This window comes from Homo sapiens, chromosome X, assembly GCF_000001405.40.
Source record: "Homo sapiens chromosome X, GRCh38.p14 Primary Assembly".
Taxonomy (NCBI): Eukaryota; Metazoa; Chordata; class Mammalia; order Primates; family Hominidae; genus Homo; species Homo sapiens.
This window is the reverse complement of record NC_000023.11, coordinates 3588650-3610789: the sequence shown is the minus strand read 5'-3', so window position 1 is coordinate 3610789 and position 22140 is coordinate 3588650. Positions and strand designations below refer to the sequence as shown.

The 22140-nt window shown below is 42.9% G+C and overlaps 1 protein-coding gene and 1 pseudogene across 1 annotated transcript in view, besides 1 other annotated feature; both read left to right on the top strand.

Annotated features, from left to right (window-relative positions):
* The window catches only part of PRKX (protein kinase cAMP-dependent X-linked catalytic subunit), a 109310-nt gene extending 102860 nt beyond the window's left edge, over window positions 1-6450 (top strand). The window contains exon 9 of the mRNA NM_005044.5: window positions 1845-6450. The gene's annotated coding sequence lies outside the window, so the exon portion shown is untranslated. The remainder of the gene's footprint in view (window positions 1-1844) is intronic.
* On the top strand, window positions 3425-3532 carry RNU6-146P (RNA, U6 small nuclear 146, pseudogene; annotated as a pseudogene).
* Window positions 18193-19124: an enhancer, noted in NCBI's record as "OCT4-NANOG-H3K27ac-H3K4me1 hESC enhancer chrX:3509707-3510638 (GRCh37/hg19 assembly coordinates)". NCBI's record gives its function as "activates a minimal SCP1, AML or CMV promoter by ChIP-STARR-seq in naive H9 embryonic stem cells {active_cell/tissue: H9 hESC(naive)}" and the evidence as "EXISTENCE:reporter gene assay evidence [ECO:0000049][PMID:30033119]".

Below are 22140 nucleotides of genomic sequence, written 5' to 3'. Positions count from 1 at the left end.
ATAAGCCACAAAAATAGAACCTTTCTCTAATAGAGACCCCTCAATTGTAAAATTTACTTAAAGAACAAAAAAGCTTCCATTTGATGGATTTTTGTCATATAATCAGTGAACAATTTCATTACATCCTGTCCCCAGCTGCCCCTACTTTCCCTGAAAAAGATTCCACACGTAGGAATAACCTTTCTCCATCTGGTATGCATTGTTGAGAAAGTATGTGTAAGTAAGTATTATTTTTGCTAAGTGGAATCATTTTTAATATAGTTTGGCTAGTGGTTGGGGCTCTGTTTAATGAATTTTTTTTTCTTTTTGAGACAGAGTCTCGCTCGGTTGCCCAGGCTGGATTGCAGTGGTGCGATCTCAGCTCACTGCAACCTCCGCCTCCTGGGTTCAAGTGATTCTCCTGCCTCAGCCTCCCGAGTAGCTGGGATTACAGGTGCCTGCCACCACACCAGGCTAATTGTTTTGTATTTTTAGTAGAGATGGGTTTTGCCATGTTGGCCAGGCTGGTCTTGAACTCCTGAACTCAGGCAATCTGCCCACCTCGGCCTCCCAAAGTGCTGGGATTACAGGCATGAGCCACTGTGCCTGGCCCAGATGCAATATTTTAATCCGTCTTAGTAATTTTATCAAGTAATTTGCACACCAAACACATCCCTGGCATTTTCAGCAACGAGCGATTAGTTGCAGGAATTTTATGCAGGAAGATATTTCTTCATGAAGCCAAATCTTCTCCTGTAAATAAGACACCAGTTCAGATGAATCACTGCACTTGAGGGCAGCTTAGAAACTATGCTGTAGCCGTTCATCTTTGTTTGAATCACCCTGTATGCCTTTCTGAATGTGGAGGAGGAATTTAAGAGAACTGACTCACTATGTCTTTTATTTTACTTTGTAATAAAATATTTTCTGTCTTGCTGTAAGGTTCTCTGAGGAAGCATGTTGAATTGGGGATCCCATTTTTCTTGTGCAGTTCATCATCTATTGGTGGATACATTTATCTATTTATGGATAAGCGTATGATAGAACATTCTTCAGGCTGGATGTGGTGGCTCCTACCTGTAATCCCGGCACTTTGGGAGGCCGAGTTGGGAGGCTCACTTGAGGTCAGGAGTTTGAGATCAAGCCTGGGCAACATAGTGAGACCCCATCTCTACAAAAAATAAAAAAGTTAGCCAGGCGTAGTGATACATACCTATTGTCACAGCTATTCTAGAGGCTGAGGTGAGAGGCTCGCTTGGGCCTGGAAAGTTGAGGCTGCAGTGAGCCGTGATTGTGCCTGTACTCCGGCCTGGATGGCAGAGTTAGACCTCATCTCAAAAATGAAAACAGGGCTGGGCGAGGTGGCTCATGCCTGTAATCCCAGCACCTTGGGAGGCCGAGGCGCATGGATCATCTGAGGTCAGGAGTTCGAGACCAGCCTGGCAAACATGGTGAAATCCCATCTCTACCAAAAATACAAAAATTACCCAGGCGTGGTGGCGGGCACCTGTAACCCCAGCTACTCAGGAGGCTGAGGTAGGAGAATCACTTGAACATGGAGGCGGAGGTTGCAGTGAGCTGAGATCACACCACTGTACTCCAGCCTGGGCAACAAGAGCAAGACTCCGTCTCAAACAAACAAACCAAAAAAACCCCTTACCTTTAAAACATTCTTCATTTCCTTTTTATTGGCCTCTCCTTTTAGAATTCAGGCTTATGGATCCTTGCAAAAAGAATTACAAAGAGAGGTTTTCTTTGTTATCACTTAGGGAAAGGAAACCTTTGTATTATCATTGAGATGATGATTACAAAATTCATCCAGTTACTGAGCAACTCACAGAATCTTTTGTCCTATTTCATGCTAGAAACAGGAAGATTGGAATCTGCCTGGAACAAAGAACTGCACCTAAGCAGACCAGAAGCAAAATGTCTTCTTCACGGCATAAGGACATCTCCACTTTTCTCTGTACCTGTGTGTATAGAAATAGATTAGAGCACAGTTGAAATTCATGGAACTGGCATTATTTAAGCAACTGGAATTCCACACTGTAGGAAGGTTTTGAAAATTGTTTGGTTGTAGATTTTATCTTATCCTTTAGTGTTGTGTTCCTACTGTGATGTCTTGGTTTTTGTCATAGACTTAAGTTTATAAGTTTGAACTGGACTTGTTCGATTATAACCACAAATTGTGTGTGTGTGTGTGTGTGTGTGTGTGTGTGTGTGTGTGTGTGTATGCCTGTGTGTATATATAGAAGTCATTATGGCAGATGCACAGAAATTGTGCAGTGATGTAAATGTTCATACTTTACAGAGCCTATAATTTTTATTTTTCAATTTGTTTTTTCAAAAATCTCTTCTCGGGGACAACATCTGAAGGGTATGTTGCATGCATTAAAAAAAATCATCTCACATGCATTTTATAGTTTTGGGGAAGAAAATATCATGGGGAGGTCTACCTTCAGTATCTTTAGTGCTTCTTACCTGGTAACTTGAGACTTTAAAAGAAGAAACAAAGAGGGGAAGATATGGGAGCGAATTTATTCCAAGAATCTACAATGACATTGAAGTTGTTGGAGGAATGTACTGTATTTAAAAAAACCTTCTGTGACACATTCAAAAATTTCATCTGAGCTGGATGCAGTGGCTTGTTCCTATAGTCCCAGCACTTTGGGAGGCTGAGGTGGGTGGATTGCTTGAGCCCAGGAGTTGGAGACCAGTCTGGGAAACGTGGTGAGACCTCATCTCTACAAAATACAAAAAAATTAGCCGGGCATGGTGGCACGTGAGTGTAGTCTCAGCTACTCAGGAGGCTGAGATGAGAGGATCACTTGAGCCTGGGGAGGTCCAGGCCGCAGTGATCCGAGATCACACCACTGCATTCCAGCCTGGGTGACAGAGTGAGACCCTGTCCAAAAAAAAAAAAAAAAAAAAAGAAGGCAATGGCTTTGTGCTTTTGAAGATGGATTGAAGAGAACGTCCACCTTAAGGCTTTAAAAGACAGTGAAGCTGGGTGCGGTGGTGCACTCCTGTAACCCTGGGACTTTGGGAAGCTGAGGCAGGAAGATTGAGCCTAGGAGTTCGAGACCGACCTGGGCAGCATAGCGAGACCCCATCTCTATATAAAAAAAAAGATGTTAAAACAGTGAAATTACAGAAACAGAACATAGCCACCCTTTTTCATCAGTGACCTTTTCTTCACGTGGAGGTCAACTCAGTAGGTGAGAATAATTAGTAGGTTCAGCAGAATAAACTCTTTACAATTAATAACTCAGTGGAAAATGATGTTCAGATGGTGAAATGTGGAAATGTTTTAGACAACTCTATTTTCAGCCTGTGCTTCTCACTCACCATCCTGTTGGGATTAACAGTTGAGGGCCATCGCTGCCTAAACATTTAGCGTGCGGTTTCCCATCAGTTTTACCGTGAATGTGAAAAGGTGAAACTGGTGCTGACTTCGGCAGCAGGTATACTAAAATTGGAATGACACAGAGGAGATTAGCATGGCCCCCTGCGCGAGGAAGATCTGCAGATTCATGCAGCATTCCATATTTTTTTAAGAAAAGGTTACACTGTGCACCGACATGTGGAGCTAGAAGGAAAAGCTTTTAAGTCTCATGTTTGCTGACTATAAAAATAAATCATAGTAATAATATTGAACATTCTACTTTAAAAATTATTAATAAAACCATAAATGAAACACTTGAGCACACTTTAAAAAGTACATAAATCCATGAGTCCATATGCCTATTTTTAGGTTGTCTGTTTTATTATCCAGGATTTCATACTCAGATGAGAATTAGCATCAGGAAAGCCTGAAATGCCTTAATTGTGAACTGATATGCAGGAAAATGAAATATGCAAGCACATTGGTGACCTTGTTCTTTACAGACGTCGTGATCAGCCTCCAGCCATACAGAACAAATGAGAAATTAGAAGCGATTCCAAGAACGTGTGATGGTGTGAAACCCACTTTGGACCATCACACACATTTCAGCATTTGAAGTGACACAAGCTACCTGGTAACTGCCCATGGCGGGGTCATAGTTTAAATGGCCCAATGTCATGTAGAGGTTAATTTAATCAAAATGAGCTATAAACATGGAGCAATCACTGTATAATTTTAAAATAGTTTACCTGGCCAGGCATGGTGGCTCACGCCTGTAATCCCAGCACTTTGGGAGGCCGAGGCAGGTGGATCACCTGAGGTCAGGAGTTCGAGACCAGCCTGGCCAACATGGCAAAACCCCCATCTCTACTAAAATACAAAAATTAGGTGTGGTGGCGGGCACCTGTAATCCTGGCTACTCGGGAGGCTGAGGCAGGAGAATCGCTTGAACCCGGGAGGCAGAGGCTGCAGTAAGCCGAGATCGTGCCACTGCACTCCAGCCTGGGCCACAGAGCAAGACTCCGTCTCAAAACATAAAAATAAAAAAAATACAAATAGCTGACCCGGGTGGGCATTCCAAAATGTCCGCATGGACGATCACGAAACAATCACGGTGCGAAATGTCCGCATGGATGATCACGAAACAATCACGGTGCAGAATGTCCGTATGGATGATCATGACAAACAATCACTGCGCAAAATGTGGAGGAAAATTCATTACCATAATCACAACATTTGTATCAGAAAAACATTACAAATTTACTTTGCTTCATGTAATTTTACGAGTTGGCAATATTTTCTTAAATTGGAATACTCTAAGAGAATAGGACATGGATATGTTACAAGAAGAAGTGTATTGGGGCAAGTCTTGTTTTTCTGAAGGGAAATGCCACCGGCCTGCTTTCATAGGCATTGATAAAGCCAGGAAGGAAATAAAGTCACAACCAAATAGTATACACTGTCTCTACTGAATTCTTCTAATTCCTTCGCAACAGAAGTCTAAATCCTGCTTAGCCTAAACATATCTATAGCCAGCGATGGGCAAATTATATTTGCTGTCAGCATGATAGAATAAGAAGCAGAAACCCCCCAGCAGTGGGGTAAGATTGCGCGCTTCATCCCCTCAAAATGCAGTTCAGCCCCACTCCCTCTCCATGCCCATCAAACAACTGCACAATCACTTGTTACTGAATTTCCCATTCAGCGTTTTGTTTCTTTCTGTCCATACTTAAAGACCAAATCATTTGTTTGCTTTGAAGAAAAAGCAAAAACAAGAACAAAAACACCAAATCATTTGAAATCACTGTCCATTAAAAAAAATCACCAGTGGAACTAAACAGTTGAGTGGTTTGGGATGTGTTCGCCATTTCTGTGTTTGACCTACATGGCCTCTAATTCTTTGGACCATTGTAACTGTGAAACTATGGCTTAATACTGTTAAAGACCCCAAGGCTCCACTCTGTAGCCAGGTGCACCTCAGGCTGCACAAATACCCCACCAGAATGTCACAATCATTCATTGCTCCAGCTACTGAGTGAACAGGGTGCAAGACAGCACTGGCTTGGGTTGTATTTTTGCAGCCAGTTAACTTTGCATCAGGTCTACACAGTCCTTGCAGCCTTTGATTTCTCCAGTTGTAGAGATTTGAAATGGGGTGCCCGGGTTCCTCTCGTTTTTCCTTCAATCTACCTAGCATGCATTTTACACACATTGGAGGAGTCGTATGCACTGTTTTTCTGTTGCTGATGGAGGCAAGCAGGCCTTCTAATTAGTCTAACTTAAACGGATGGGATTCACTTAACAAAAGCAAGAAGAAAAGCACACGAACAGGTGTCTTAATGCATTTGGATAGTTTCTTTGCGGGGTGTGTGTGTGTGTGTGTGTGTGTGTGTGTGTGTGTGTGTGTGTGTGTCTTGGTGAAGGTGAGGGGCTGTATTTTCACCAAGCCTTTTCATAATCAAGTTTGCTTTGCAAACCTTATGGCCTTGCACCCCGCAGAACAGTCCCTTCCTAATAGCAGGGATGCTCTGTCATGGTTTTCTGTAAATTATCGTGTGTTGGGAAGTTCTGTTGAGGCTTAGTTTGATCTTCCATGGTGGACACGTCTGTTCTGTATGTAAAAGGCATTACAATTGTGTTTTAGCAGATGAGACTTGAAGCCTTTCCACAGTCCTTGTGCTCTGAGATGGCTGTTGAGCTCTGCTCAACTGTCGTAGCTGAATTCTTTCTTTGCGCTGAACACTGGGCAGCCTCACCATGTTGCCAACGTGCTTCTGGGGCCCCTGTCACTGCCGCCGGATGCCGCGCACACAGGCAGAGTGCCTTGGCAGGTTTGTGCACCCCTTGGCGAGCCAGAACTGGGAACCCCGCGGGGTGACCCCTTCTCATGGGGGGTCGGGGAGGGGAGTGCCTATTTTTAATCCTGTCTGTTTGTTGCACAATGGAAATCACTGTGATTTGTACATATGCCCTAGGAAAATTTTACTGCTGTCTAATTTATGTAATAATACTGTTGATTCCAGGTTTGTTTAATAAAACTTTGTATCTTTTCAGAAGTCTGAGTTTCATCTGCTTCTGTCTCCAAACAAGCTGTGGCTTTTCTCCTTTGGTCTAATCGAGGGATGGGCAATTATCTGTAGGGGCCACATGGCAGATATTTTCTGCATTGTGGGACACACAGTCTCTGTTGCACAGAGTGCAAAAAAGCTGCTATAATTAGGCACGGAGGTGCACGCTTGTAATTCCAGTGCTTTGGGAGACCAAGGCAGGAGGATCGCTTGAGCCCAGGAGTTTCAGACCAGCCTGCAACGTAGCAAGACCCGATCTCTACAAAAATTAGAAAAATCTGTCAGTAGTGGTAGCACGAGCCTGGGATTGCTCAGGAGGCTGAGGTGGGAGGGTCACTTGAGCCCAGGAGTTTGAGCCTGCTTTGAGCTGTAATTGTGCCAATGCCCTCCAGCCTGGGTGACAGAACAAGAACCTGACTCTTAAAAAAACAAAAATCAAAAAGCCCCATAGACAATACGTAAACAAGTGGGCATGGCTGTGCTCCAGTGAGGTTTTATTGACAAAAATAATCAGAGGGCCGGATTTAGTCCAAGGGCCAGCATTTGCTGATTCCTGTTGTAGTGTGATGTTGACTTTGCAGATTGGCTTCACAGGTTGTTAAAAATGTGCTGCCCTCATCATCATGAATGAATAAAATATTTTATTGCTTACTCTTATTACTCACATATTTGACACCCAGGTTTCTGAGTGACATTCGCAGCTTGCTAAAAACATCCTGACTTCGTACATTGTAAAATCAATTGATTTGTAATTTTTGACACTCACATAGCACTTGCTATTAGCAGAGGCTGAAATATTACACCCAGCTAAGGGTCAAACACAGGCCTGTTTACTTATGACCAAGCTGTCCCTGGTCCCATCTTGGAATTCCCTGGGGAAGGGAGTCTTCCCGTGGGCTGGTATGGCTGTTCAGGGTCTGGTTCAGGGACCACTCGGGAGTTTCTGTAGCGTAGGTTCTTGGTGAGTGACAGTCTGATTTGGGAAAGGATACGGAGTGTGTGTGTGTTGGAAGGCTAGGGGAGGGGTCTTGAACCCCTTCAGCAGAACAAACATGCTTTGTACTTTGGGGTAAGATCGCTAGAGATTGTCCAGGGTTGTGTCAGTTATGTGTCATAGATATGTATTAATATTTAGCCACACCCTGTTGGAGCTCTCTGACTTTCCTAGGAGTCAGGCTCATCTTGTATACTTATTGAAAGGATCAGATAACCTTCTTCCGAGGGTATGAAGGAAAATCATAGTTAGGTGGACCCCCTCATCTTAACAAGAGGCTGTCTCGGGTATCGCTTTGCAGAGATGGACAGGAATTGCTGGAGTTTTTTGTTCTGTTTTGTTTTGCTTTGTTTTGCGGCAGAGTCTCCCTCTGTTGCCCAGGCTGGAGTACCCTGGTGCAATCGCAGCTCACTGCAGCCTCGAAGTCCTTCTCTCAAGCGATCCTCCCACCTCAGCCTCCTGAGTAGCTGGGACTACAGGTGTGCGCCACCACACCCAATTAATTTATTTTTTATTTTTATTTTGTAGAGATGAGGTCTCCGTATGTTGCCCGGGCTGATCTCAAACTCCTGGCCTCAAGCAATCCTCCCACCTTGGCCCTGCAAAGCGCTGGGACTGCAGGTGTGAGGAACTGCAGTATGGGGAGCACCCGTTTTCTGTGGGCAGTGACATGCACACTGTTACATGTGTGTGCAACAAAGTTATCCTTCAATCCTTCAAATACTGCAACGCGTGGGACACCTGCCCACTCTAACCACTGCTAAAAGACAAAGCTGTTGACACGAGAACTCAGCAGAAAACAAAATCACAGAGCTAAGGTTTCCATTCCATCTGCTCCTGCTCACACCAAGGCGCTAAACAACACTTCAATAATAAATATGTGTTACATAAGCATAACAGAATAAATATATGACTATAATATGTAAATAGATTAATGTATATTTATTACATATTAATGTAATAAATACATTAATATAATTTATGTTAATATATATTTTTAATGTATTTATGCAATACATGTATATTAAATTTAATATATACAATATATGAATATGTTACATTAACATACAATATATACACAATATATATTAAAGTACTATATATTAAAGTGCTGTATATGAATATATGCATGTACTATATTCATATACAGGACTTTAATATATCTACATATTATACATAATAAGTATACTATAATATATAGTATAGGTGTATAATATATATATAATGTATATATAATATGATTTATATAATATATATTTATATGTTTAGTATAATGTATAGAATTTTTATATATTTATTTTATATAAATACTTAGACATTTATTAAAGAACAGCATTCTGTATTTTCTGACAAAAATATTGGATGCCAGTTAAAACCATCAAATGCTGAAGACCTCCCATGAGTATATTGATGAGGGAACTGGAAATTCGATGTTTTGTTATAAGGCAGAAAACCATGATGTACTAAAACTAGTCCATCAACCCTTCTGTGGATCAAATTTTTTTAAAAAAAATTTTAATTTACATTTTTATTGACAAATAATACTTGTACATATTTTTGGGGTACATACCAATGTTTGAGTAAATGTAATGTACAGTGATCAGATCATGGTAATTAGCAAATCCGTCAGGCATCTCAATCAGGCATCATTTCTTTGTGTTGGGAACATTCAATATCCTAGATTTGGAACTGTATATTATTGTTAACTACAGTCGTCCTACAGGGCTATAGAACACCAGAAGGTATTCCTCCTGTCTAGCTGTAATTTTGTATCCTTTAAGAAAACTCGGCCGGACACGGTGGCTCGTGCCTGTAATCCCAGCACTTTGGGAGGCTGAGGTGGATGGATCATAAGATCAAGAGTTTGAGACCAGCTTGACCAACATGGTGAAACCCTGTCTCTACTAAAAATACGAAAATTAGCTGGGAATGGTGGCATGCGCCTGTAATCCCAGCTACTCAGGAGGCTGAGGCAGGAGGATTTCTTGAACCCAGGAGGCGGAGCTTGCAGTGAGCCGAGATCGTGCCATTGCACTCCAACCTGGACGACAGAACGAGACTCCGTCTCAAAAAAAAAAAAAAAAAGCTCTGTCCCCTCCTCCCCCCACCCTTCCCAGCCTCTAGTATCCTCTGTTCTACTTTTTATTTTTGTAAGAGCTACTTTTAGTTCCCATGTGAGAGAACCTGTGACATTTGCCTTTCCAGTTCTGCTTATTTCACGTAACATAATGTCCTCCAGTTTCATCCTTGTTGATGAGAATGACAGGATTTCATCCTTTATTAATGGCTGAATAGTATTCCATGGCATATATATGCTGCCATATTTTCTTTATCCATTCATCTGTTGCAAATTTATTTTATTATATTATTTTTGTTGAGACAGGGTCTCATTCTGTTGTCAAGGCTGGAGTGCAATGGCACGATCACAGCTCACTGCAGCCTCGACCTCCCAGGCTCAAGCCATCCTCCCACCTCAGCCTCCAAAGTAGCTGGGACTACAGATGCACCCCCGCCATGCCCAACTAATGTTTACATTTTTTTGTAGAGGCAGGATCTTGCTATGTTGCCCAGGTTGGTCTCAAACTCCTGGGCTTGAGTAATCCTTCTGCCTCAGCCTCCCAAAGTGTTGGGATTACAGGCTCTCACGAGCCACCATGTCTGGACTTGCAAATTTATTTTACTAGGCAAGCTACCTTTGAGAAGTCCATGAAAGAGACCATTTTCTACACATGTAAAGCTACAATTCAATTGTTAAAATTCTGATAAAAACCAAAACATGACATCTACCCTGTTAAATTTTTACGTGTTTAATCCACATTGTTCCCCATGAGCTCTGTCTTTTATTTTACACCCATCAAACAGCAAGTCCCTATTGTCCCCCCTTCTTCTCAGTCCCTGGGAACCACCGTCAACCACCCCCTACTCCACAAATCAGAGAAGACACAGGTCTGCACACCTGGGTCTTAACTTTCATCTGAAACATTTTTAGTTCTCAAGGACATCACGGAGAATAGATTCATGCTTTCATGTCTAGTTATAAATGTCTGGCTTTGAGCCGGCTGCATACTCAGCTTTTAAAATCCCCTTGGGGGCAATGTCTCGGAAACCCACTGGCTGAAAAACAATTCATAATGAATCAGGAATTGTGCGGAGGCCGTTTTAAAATGAGTGCCTTGAAAAAAGGAAAAAAAAAAATCTACAAAAGGCAAAGTTTAAAAAATGATGTCATTCCAGTAAGTGAGGAATGAAGAAAGGTAATTTGGTCTACAGAGTTCAGAGTTCTTGTTATTTTACACTGGGCTTGTTTTTAATTGAACTGATGAATAATGACCAGAATGCCTGAACATCTAGAGCTGGAAAAAGCTGGCCCTGGAGAAGGTACATCATTCGTTATTTGTGAAAGTCAGCTGCGGTAGTCAGTACAGGATACAGTAGAAGTATCCATTTCACTGTGGACAGATGTTTAGATGCCTTTTCTTTTTTCTTGGGATTTTTCTTTTTCCCACCCAACCCCACTCTACCTTTTTTCTAAGAAAAGTATCTGGTAACAATCCAACATGGGAAACTTCTGCTTCTTTCAAGAATATAACCTTTAAAATAATGGGTGCTTAACAAGACATTCTCCAAGCTCCTATTTTTCATAACTTTACTGTGGCCACAATGAGAAATATATTGTGCATATTTTACAGAACCATCCGGACTCACATACATGCAAACGCACACACGCCCCTAAAACTACAGCTGAACAAGACAATCCAAACTTAACAATATTAATAGTGTAGAAACAGGGTTATCAGATATGAATTTATTAATCATGGTTACACAGAGCACTGTTTCATTTCAAATTATTTTGAATACGAGTAGAGACCTGCAAAACTGAATCCATGGTCCTTTCTTGGGTCTTGCTTAGTGTTTGAAAAGCACTTTTCTATTAAAAAAAAGTGACAGCTCTGCACTCCGTATCTCTCTGCTTTTCCACATTAAAACGGGACTCAATATTGGTGATTTCACAAGGGAGCAAATGCCAGCTAGTCTTGAGAGGAAACTTGTTGCTTGCTTTCTCATGACATCTGTGAATTAAAAACTCAAAACCATTTCATTTCCATTGTTTAATATGGCACACAGCAGCTTTCTGGCTAAGATATGCATTTTGCAGTACATTTATTAGAATAATAGTATTCTGGCATTATGTGAGTATGATTTTCTTTTCTCCGGCCCCTGTTTCTAGACTTTGTAAATTTGTACATTGACAACTAGTTGGTCCAACTTCTTAGGTCTTTTTTTTTTTTTTTTTTTTAAAAACAACTGCTGGGCCCAAAGTGCCGTTGATATTACAGGTTGCCATTACTTTTTATGAGCTAGTTTGCGATGCCAGTTGGATGGATTCTCTTTTCCTAACGGCAGTGGAATATCTGTGTAAGCTTCTGGCGGCCGATGACTCTGTAGCCAGTCCATTTGAGAGACTTCCAACTCTCATGGAAGATCTGGGTGGACGTTGGAGTTCTGGATAGGTTTGTGTGTTCTCTTTTCCAAGGGGAAAGAAATGTTGGTGGAATTGCATGTGTCTAACTCTTAACTATTTCTTATCAGAGTTTTAGTTTTTGTGGGCTTATGAATTCATCTTGTCTCAGTAACAAAGTGTCAACAAAATGTACTGAAAAGGGTTTTCTTTTAAAAATGGCAAGAGAAACTATTCCAGGGAATAGTTTGCAAACTAGAGAGATACAGTTCTGGAGAGCAAAGAGAGGGTTTTTTCTTTCTTTCTTTCTTTTTTTTTTTTTTTTTAGTAGAGTTCCTGCCCAAGGTTCCCACTGGTCTGCTAGGCAACTGAGGAATGCAAACTTGTTTAGTTCTGATTGGTTGCTGCTTGTTGAGTTCTGACTGGTTGACACTCATTGGATTCTGAGGGGTTGATGCTTGTTGAGTTCAGACTGGTTGACACTTGTTGGGTCCTGATGGGTTTATGCTTGTTGAATTCTGACTGGTTGATGCTTGTTTAGTTCTGACTGGTTGACACTTGTTGAGTTCTGATTAGTTGGTGCTTGTTGAGTTCTGATGGGTTGGTATTCACTGGGTTCTATCTAACTGGTTGATGCTCATTGAGTTCTGACTGTTTGACACTTGTTGGACTCTCATGGGCTGATGCTCATTGAGTTCTGATAGGCGGACACTTGTTGAGTTCTGATGGGTTGACACTTATTGGGTTCTGACTGGTGGGCACTTGTTGAGTTCTGATGAGTTTGGCACTTGGGTTCTGATGAGTCAACACTTGTTGAGTTCTGATGGGTCGACCCCCGATGAGCTCTGACTGTTTGACACTTGTTGGGTTCTAACTGGTTGACACTTACCGAGTTCTGACTAGTTGATGCTTGTTGAATTCTGATGGGTTGACACAGATCACAGTCTATTGATTGATTCAGGCTGCATGGATAGGAATTGACAGTTGTGAAAGTCTCAAAGTTGTAAGAATGTTTGGGTTTTCCAGGAACTTAGAGCACATGTGTGAGCTCTTGTCAGCAAATGGCCGCTTGACCCTGTTTTGAATTTAGTCCCATTGAGTGACTTGGGATCCACCTTGAAGCACTGACTCCTTCAGGGTTCACAGAAAATGTAGGAGAACCTGCCATTTTAACCATTTGCCTGTATCTTGATCCCATATCTTTATTTTCTTACTCTTGACCTGATTTGGCCTAACGTTTTCCATCCTTTTATCTTCACTGAAGTTTAGCTTAGTTTTCTGCTCTTTAAATGTGTTCTTTAAGTGATGACAGATCATCCTCATTCTAGGCTCCAAAGATAGTAATAAGATGTACTCTTTCTAGACAGGCGGAATGAATTTTGATGGCTCAGTGTTTTTTTTGTTTTTTTTTTTTTTTTTTTTTTTTGAGACAGAGTCTCGCTTTGTTGCCCAGGCTGGAGTGCAGTGGCGCGATCTTGGCTCACTGCAAGCTCCGCCTCCCAGGTTCACGCCATTTTCCTGCCTCAGCCTCCCGAGTAGCTGGGACTACAGGCGCCCGCCACCACGCCCGGCTAATTTTTTTGTATTTTTAGGAGAGACGGGGTTTCACCGTGTTAGCCAGGATGGTCTCAATCTCCTAACCTCGTGATCCGCCTGCCTCGGCCTCCCAAAGTGCTGGGATTACAGGCGTGAGCCACCGCACCCGGCCTTTGATGGCTCAGTTTTTAAAAATTTATATCTTTTTGAGGGGTTTGGTTAGCCTTTCAAATTTGAATTAGTCAATATTTTAAATGGTTTATTTAAAAAAAATTTAATATTATAATATGTTAATATTGTCATGTTTCATATTGTAAATGTTACAGCATTTGTGACAATGAAAATAAGTCTTAAACATATCCCAGAAATAAAACCACTTAATCATGTGTAGAGTTCTCTTTATCAGTATCTACTTTGGTCATTGTTATATGGGCTTCACAATTCCATTACAATTTATAAAACTTGAGCTAGGCAACCTAGTAAGACCCTGTCTCTACAGAAAATGAAAAAATTAGCTGGACGTTGTGGTGCATGCCTGTAGTCCTAACTACTCAGGAGGCTGAGGTAGGAAGATTGCTTGAGCCCAGGAGTTATATGTGGATGTGGATTTGGATGTGGATGTGGATGGATGGATGGATGGATAGATAGATAGATACAGATGAATAGACAGATGATAGATAATAGGTTGATAAGGATAGATGATACATTGTTAGATAGAGTTTCTCATGCAAAAGCCCAGGGTTTCTCTAACTGAGCACTACTGACATCTGAGGCTGGATGATTCTCTGTGGTTGGTGCTATTCTATACATTATAGGATGTTGATAGACATCTTTGGCCTCTACTCCCTAGATACCAGTATCCCCCTTGGCCCCCACTCCTGTGGTGACAATTAAAAATGTCTCCAGACATTGCCAAAAGCCCCTGGGAGGTAAAAATCTCCCCTGGTTAAAAGCCACTACTTAGAAAAATAAGATTGGGGACCATTTGGGAGCCATGAACACAGAGCAAAACAGAAAGAACCAAGACTCGAATGGTGATCTTCCTTTAAGCTTTCACAGCAAGATTAATCTTCATGCCAAAGAAGATCCTGGATCAACAGGGTCATCCTCGAATTTTGAAATTTATGACATATCATGCCCACATGCCAAGCCAAGAATGTGAGCTCTTGCAGTGTTTTACTTGGATGGGATTAGAGCCACCGGGTAGAAAAACTGCAGACAAGTTTATCCAACCAGATGGCTGCCAAGATCAACTGGCACTGCAGAGGTGCCACTGCACTGAGAAATAGAAAAGAGGTGTAAAGATCTCTCTGGAATCTTCATTCTTGCAGTGGGCATTTGAAGGATACTTTTTTTGATGGGTCACCTTTCCTTTCTCTGAATTCATCTCAGAATTTCTACTCAATGTCGCCAAGTCAACATTTGGTCTTTTACCAAATGGAAAATATTTCTATGAGCAGTGTAGTGAATTGTAAGTAAGAGTCTGGGGAGCTTGAATGTGTCTCGAGCTATGAGTCAGAGACCTGGGTCAGGTTCTGCTTCTTACTGGGGCCATTGTGGTGGACATGTTTCTTAGCTGTTCTCCGTATTAATGGATCCATTCTTCAAATAGGGGCAGTAATTATTCCTGTGGGCTCCCTTTCTGATCAGAAACCTCCAGTAGCTCTCTGTTGCACTCAGAAGGCAAAATAACATCATAACAACAGTATAGAAAGGTCTACATGATCTGCTGTCAGTAATGTCCCTGAGTCTCTCTCCAGGGCATCAGCTCCCGATGCCTGGACTCTTTGCTGATTTAGAACACATCCCATAAGCTCCTGCCACGGGGCCTTTCCACTGGCCCTTTTCTCTGTTCTAGATACCAGCATAGCTTTCGCCTTCGCCATCTTCAACTCTTTGCTCAAATATCTTCTCAATTCATCCAGCACTTTATTTAAAATTTCAACTTGATTCCAACACTCTCTACCACTATCCCAACTTTCTTTTTTTTCCTCTCTACCACTGAGCACTTTCTACTGGTTTGTACCCTTTTCTTATTTATTTTGTTTATTATTCTTCCCACTAGAATGCAAACTGCAGGCAGGCAAGGAATTTGGTCTTTGGTTGGGTTTATTGTCATAATCATAGTAGTCATAATATCATATTAGTCATAATCATATAATATAACTATATTAGTGATGATTCTCCTTATCATCATGCATAGCTGCTGTATTTTCACTTGCAGTCATGGTGTGATATTCTACTTATGGATAAGGTGCACCGTAATTTGTCCAGTTGCCTGAGGAAGAGAGAATTAAGTGGTTTGCCATTTTTACATTACAAACAATACTACATAAAATAATCGGGGGCCGGGCACCATGGCTCACGCCTGTAATCCCAGCACTTTGGGAGGCCAAGGTGGGCGGATCACCTGAGGTCAGAAGTTTGAGACCAGCTGGCCAACATGGTGAAACCCCATCCCTACTAAAAATACAAAAATTAGCCTGGCATGGTGGCAGGCACCTGTAACTCCAGCTACTCAGGAGGCTGAGGGAGGAGAATCGCTTGAACCTGGGAAGCAGAGGTTGCAGTGAGCCGAGATCATGCAACTGCACTCCAGCCTGGGTAAAAGAGGGAGACTCCACCTCAAAAAATAAATAATAAAATAATCGGTGCACACGTATGTGTATGTTTGCATATTTGTGTCGGTGGGTATGTTTGTAGGAACAGTTTCTACAAAAGGAATTGCTGGATTAAAGGATTTACACAATTCAATTATGATCAGATATTACCAATTTCCATTTTTTTTTCCTTTGAGACAGGGTCTTGCTTTGTCACCCAGGCTGGAGTGCAGTGGTGCAATCACGGCTCCCTGCAGCCTTGGCCTCTCAGGCCCAAGCGATTCTCCTGCCTCAGCCTCCTGAGTAGCTGGGACTACAGGCATATGCCACCACACCTGGCTAATTTTTGTATTTTTTGTAGAGATGGGGTTTCACCATGTTGTCCAGGCTGGTCTCCAACTCCTGGGCTCAAGAGATCTGCTTGCCTTGGCCTCCCAAACTGCTGGGATTACAGGTATGAGCCACCTGACCTAGCCAAATTTGACATTTGTAGATTCCACCTATAAGTGAGATCATGCACTATTTATCTTCCTCTGTCTGGCTTATTTCACTTAGCATAATGCCCTCTAGCTTCCTCCAAGTTGTCAAAATGACAGAAAATTTCCCCTTGTTAAGGCTGAATAGTAGTCTGTCATATATAGATACCATATTTTCTTTACCCAGTCATCCATCGATGGACACTTAGGTGGACTCCATGTCTTGGCTACTGTGAATAGGGCTGCAGTGAACATGGGGCAGGGGGTGCAGATATCTCTAAATACCTAGTCGTGGGATTGCTGGGCCATATGCTAGTTCTGTTTGTAGTTTTTTGAGGAACTTCCACATTGTTTTCCATAATGGCGATACTAAGGTACGTTCCCACCATCTGTGAAGCTATCTCTAAATTGCATGCGTAGCAAATGTGATATTTAACTCCTTTTTGTTTGAAATACTTGCATTCAAGTAGTCAAGTAGTCAACTTCAAAGGAAAAGTTCTAAGTAAATTGTTACAGGCCGGGCGCGGTGGCTCTCACCTGTAATCCTAGCACTTTGGGAGGCCGAGGCAGGCGGATCACCTAAGGTCAGCAGTTCGAGACCAGCCTGGCCAACATGGTGAAACTCCATCTCTACTAAAAATACAAAAATTAGCCAGGTGTGGTGGCGGGTACCTGTAATCCCAGCTACTCGGGAGGCTGAAGCAGGAGAATCACTTGAACCTGGGAGGCGGAGGTTGCAGTGAGCCCAGATCACGCCACTGCACTCCAGCCTGGGTGATAAGAGCGAGACTCCGTCTCAAAAAAAAAAAAAAAATTGTTATAAACCATCTTTCCCCATTCCTCCAACTTCTGAACTTTGCAACTAATCACATAGTAAAGTGTTCCCACGTCATGTTAGGTTATTAATGCCAAATAAAACTTTTATTTGTTATGAGTGCCCATTTTGTGTTTTGTTTTATAGTCTGTAACGTGAATATTCGCTAGTAGATGTGGACCTGCCATATTTCTGTAACATTTGGAAGTAAATTAGTAGATGTTCTGAAGTAGTTTATTGTCTCTTTTGCCAATTATATTGAATAACAGATTACAGTGCATTTTATTTCTTTTTTTTTTTTGAAATGGAGTCTCGCTCTTGTCGCCCAGGCAGGAGTGCAGTGGCGGGATCTTGACTCACTACAACGTCCGCCTCCCGGGTTCAAGCGATTCTCGTTACTCAGCCTCCCAAGTAGCTGGGATTACAGGTGCCCGCGACCGCACCCGGCTGATATTTGTATTTTTAGTAGAGACGGGGTTTCCCCATGTTGGCCAGGCTGGTCTCGAACTCCCTACCTCAGGTGATCCACCCGCCTCGGCCTCCCAAAGTGCTGGGATAACAGGCATGAGCCACCGTGCCTGGCCCAGTGCATTTTATTTCTATGTTGAGAATTATTTTTGTTCCTAAGTTTACCCTTCTGCTTTGTATTAAGTGAAAGTTGCTAGTGAAAGGCATTTTTTCTACTAAAATGTACATTTAGGCTGCTGGAAATCTGCTTTTTTCCAGAACTCTCTAGTACCTCAGAGTTTTCCTACAGGCATCCCGGACTTTTGCCCCACGTTTGCTTTTTGATCTATTTCCACTACCACTGGCATTCTCATTGTGGTAGGAGTTATTAAGAAATTATTTTAGGCAGATAGAGAGGAAAAGGGGTCCTTGGAAAGTTTTCGTTTCTTTTAAAGCAGCTCCAGAAACCTTTCTTGTCTATCAGGAAAGCCCCGGCTCTTAGACTCGGCGGGCAACCTTTGATATGCAAATACAGGCGATTAGAAACTGGGTCCATCCAAACATGGCGATTCCCTCCCTCTTCTTCTTGCCCTTGCCCAATATGTGCCTGGCAGCTCGGCTGCCCACACATATCCCCACGTGTGTAGAACATCATGGCGCCCCACATTTGCATATTAAAAGGCTAGGGTGGGAAGGCCAGTTTTTTTTCGCAGCTACCTAAACGACATGCCTGGTCAAACCAATTCCCTAAGCCCTATGCAAATCAGATCGCCTACTCCAGCCTCCTCATGTAACTGGCCAGTATCCCCTGCAGGAGGGGCCTCCCCTCTCGCCTTTGGAGCCCCCTGCCTCTGTCTCTGTACAGGGGAGCTTCTTTCTTCTCCCTTCTTTCTTGCCTATTAAACTCTCCACTCCTTTAAACCACTCCACATGTGTCCATGTCGTTTTATCAAAACCAGCGCGAGGACCAAGAACCCTGGTGTTCCTCCACTCATTGGAGCCCTATCATCATCACGCCTTAAAAACCAGCCAGTGGCTGGCCAGACGAAAAGAACTCCTTAAATATCAGGCTGCCACTGTCCTCTCGAGACTCTAAGAGATTAAGTCTCCTGTATGGTTAAAACAAAAACAAACAAACAAACAAACAACAAAACATTAAGAGAATGGAAAACTCTGTTGTGGCGGACACAGTGGCTCACGCCTGTAATCCCAGCACTTCAGCAGGCCAAGGCAGGGGGATCACTTCAGCCTAGGAGTTCAAGACCAGCCTGGGCAACATAGCAAGACCCCGTCTCTACAAAAAATAAAATAAAATTAGTTGAGTGTGGTGGTGGTGTGCACCTGTGGCCCCAGCTACTTTGGAGGCTGAGGTAGGAGGACTGCTTGAGCCCAGGAGGTCAAGGCTGCAGTGAGCTATGATTGCACCACTGCACTCTGTCACACGCGTCTGTGTGAAGAGACCACCAAACAGGCTTTGTGTGAGCAATAAAGCTTTTTAATCACCTGGGTGCAGGCGGGCTGAGTCCAAAAAGAGAGTCAGCGAAGGGAGATGGGATGGGGCCGTTTTATAGGATTTGGGTAGGTAGTGGAAAATTACAGTCAAAGGGGGTTGTTCTCTGGCGGGCAGAGGCGGGGGTCACAAGGTGCTCAGTGGGGGAGCTTCTGATCCAGGAGAAGGAATTTCTCAAGGTAATGTCATCAGTTAAGGCAGGAACCAGACATTTTCACTTCTTTTTTCTTTTTTCTTTTTTTTTTTTTTGTCGAGACGGAGTCTCACTCTGTTGCCCAGGCTGGAGTGCAGTGGCACAATCTCGGCTCACTGCAAGCTCGGCCTCCCGGGTTCATGCCATTCTCCTGCCTCAGCCTCCCGAGTAGCTGGGACTACAGGGGCCCGCCACCACGCCCAGCTAATTTTTTTTGTATTTTTAGTAGAGACGGGGTTTCACCGCGTTAGCCAGGATGGTCTTGATCTCCTGACCTCGTGATCCGCCTGCCTCCGCCTCCCAAAGTGCTGGGATTACAGGCGAGAGCCACTGCGCCCGGCCCATTTTCACTTCTTTTGTGATTCTTCAGTTGCTTCAGGCCATCTGGATGTATCTGTGTGGGTGACAGAGCAAGACCCTGCCTCAAAAAAAACAAAAAACAAAAATGGAGACGGAGAAGAGTGGTGTGCTGGTGAGCCACTTCCTCTGGGTAAAGTAAAGCCCCGATTTGTAGCGTTTGCCAGTGCTGTGGTGTAAATGCTAACTCTTCCCATAATTGATTTCAAGCTGCCAGCAGTTTAACAACTAGCTCACAAAATTCTTGATTTTTTTTTTTTTTTTTTTTTTTTTTGCGATGGAGTTTCGCTCTTGTTGCCCAGGCTGGAGTGCAGCAGCACGATCTCGGCCCACTGCAACCTCCGCCTCCCAGGTTCAAGCGAATCTCCTGCCTCAGCCTCCCAAGTAGCTAGGATTACAGACACCTGCCACCATGCCCTGCTAATTTTTTTTTTTTTTTTTTTTTTGTATTTTTAGTAGAGGTAGGGTTTCACCAGTTGGCCAGGCTGGTCTCGAACTCCCAACTTCAGATGATCCACCCGCTTCAGCCTCTCAAAGTGCTTGGATTATAGATGTGAGCCACCGCGCCCGGCCTCTAGTCTTGAATATTTTAATAGTCACCTCAAAAGAGCTGGAACAAGCCAGGAGGCATCATTAATTGACTTAGGGTCCCCAGAGGAACCAAGAACCATTTGCAAGGCCGTTCCTCTTTCTCCCCTTTTTATGGTGGGCTTGGGAGCTAAGGGGCTTTATTTAAGGTCTTCTAGTCTTTTCCTTAGACTGTCCTGCCTGCTAGGAGGGTCAGGAGGAATTAGCCAAGCCAGTAAACACCACCCACCTACATCAGGAATGTGGCAGAAATGTGGCTTCTCCATCATTCTTTCTTGTTCCCCCTCCAGTATTTTAAATGGACACATTGGCACATGAAAAGAAGATAGATGAATACCTCCTGCCACACCTCTCACCCTTAAACTTGTTACTTACAGTCATTTTACATTTTAACATTGGCAAACTGGCCTCCAGAAAATATAATACTCCTCTTGTGTATACTCAATCAATAGTTTAAATAGAAAACAACCAAAAAATACTTGTGAAATCAAGTTTAGCCTAAAGCTGCCTCCTTACATATTTTAAGTTCAGCCCAAAGCTTTCTCGGTACATTGTGAACTCTAACAAGTGGAGATGTAGAAGGACCATAGCCTACTCTTATGCCCATCACTGAGTTTCAGCCAATCAAATGTAGCCAACTGTTCAAATTGCGCCCAAATAGGGCAAACGCTGAGCTGTCACCAAACTAGCTGTTTCTGAACCTCACTTCTACTTGCCGTATGTCACTTCCCTTTTTCTGTCCACAAATCTCCCACCACGTGGCTGCACTGGAATCTCAGAGCCGACTCTGGCTTGGGAGTCAGCCCAATTCGCAAATTGTTCTTTGCTCAATTCAACTCTTTTAAATTTAATGCGGCTTAAGTTGTTGTTCTCTTAACACACTTTTCCTCAGACATTTGCTATCATAAGTGTTATTATACTTTTGAATTTTCTTTGCCAATTGCATAGGTAAAAAGTCTTACATTTTGATTTGCATTTTTAAATAATTGAGGTTAATAATCTAGTATAGATTTTTCTGCAGGTTGCTTTAATTAATTTTAAAATTTCTTCAGTATTTTTTTTTAACACTTCAAGACCATTGAGTATATTTATTTATTTTTGAGATAGGGTTTCTTGCTCTGTGTCCCAGGCTGGAGTGCAGTGGTGCTATCATAGCTCACTGCAGACCCGATCTCCTGGGCTCAAGCAATCCTCCCACTTCAGCCTCCTGAGTAGCTGGGACCACAGGCATGTACCACCACACTCAGTTAATTTTTAAATTTTTTTTGTAGATCTGGGGTCTTGCTCTGTTGCCCAGGCTGGCCTCAAGTAATCCTCCTGCCTCAGCCTCCCAAAGGGCTGGGATTACAGACATGAACCACCATCCGTGGCCGCAAGTTACTTTTTTATGTTTTTTGAGATGCAGTTGGGCCCCAGGCTGGAGTGCAATGGGGCGATCTCGGCTCACTGTAACCTCTGCCTCCCAGGGTCAAGTGATTCTCGTGCCACAGTCTCCCAAGTGGCTGGGATTACAGGTGCGTAACACCATGTCTGGCTAATTTTTGTATTTTTAGTAGAGACGGGATTTTGCCATGTTGGCCAGGCTGGTCTCCAACTCCTGACCTCAGGTGATCCACCCGCCTCGGCCTCCCAAAGTGCTAGGTTTATAGGCGTGAGCCACCACCCCTGACCACAAGTTGCTTTTTAATATATGAGATAACCTTTTATATAATTTATCCATTTCATTGGTTGCTT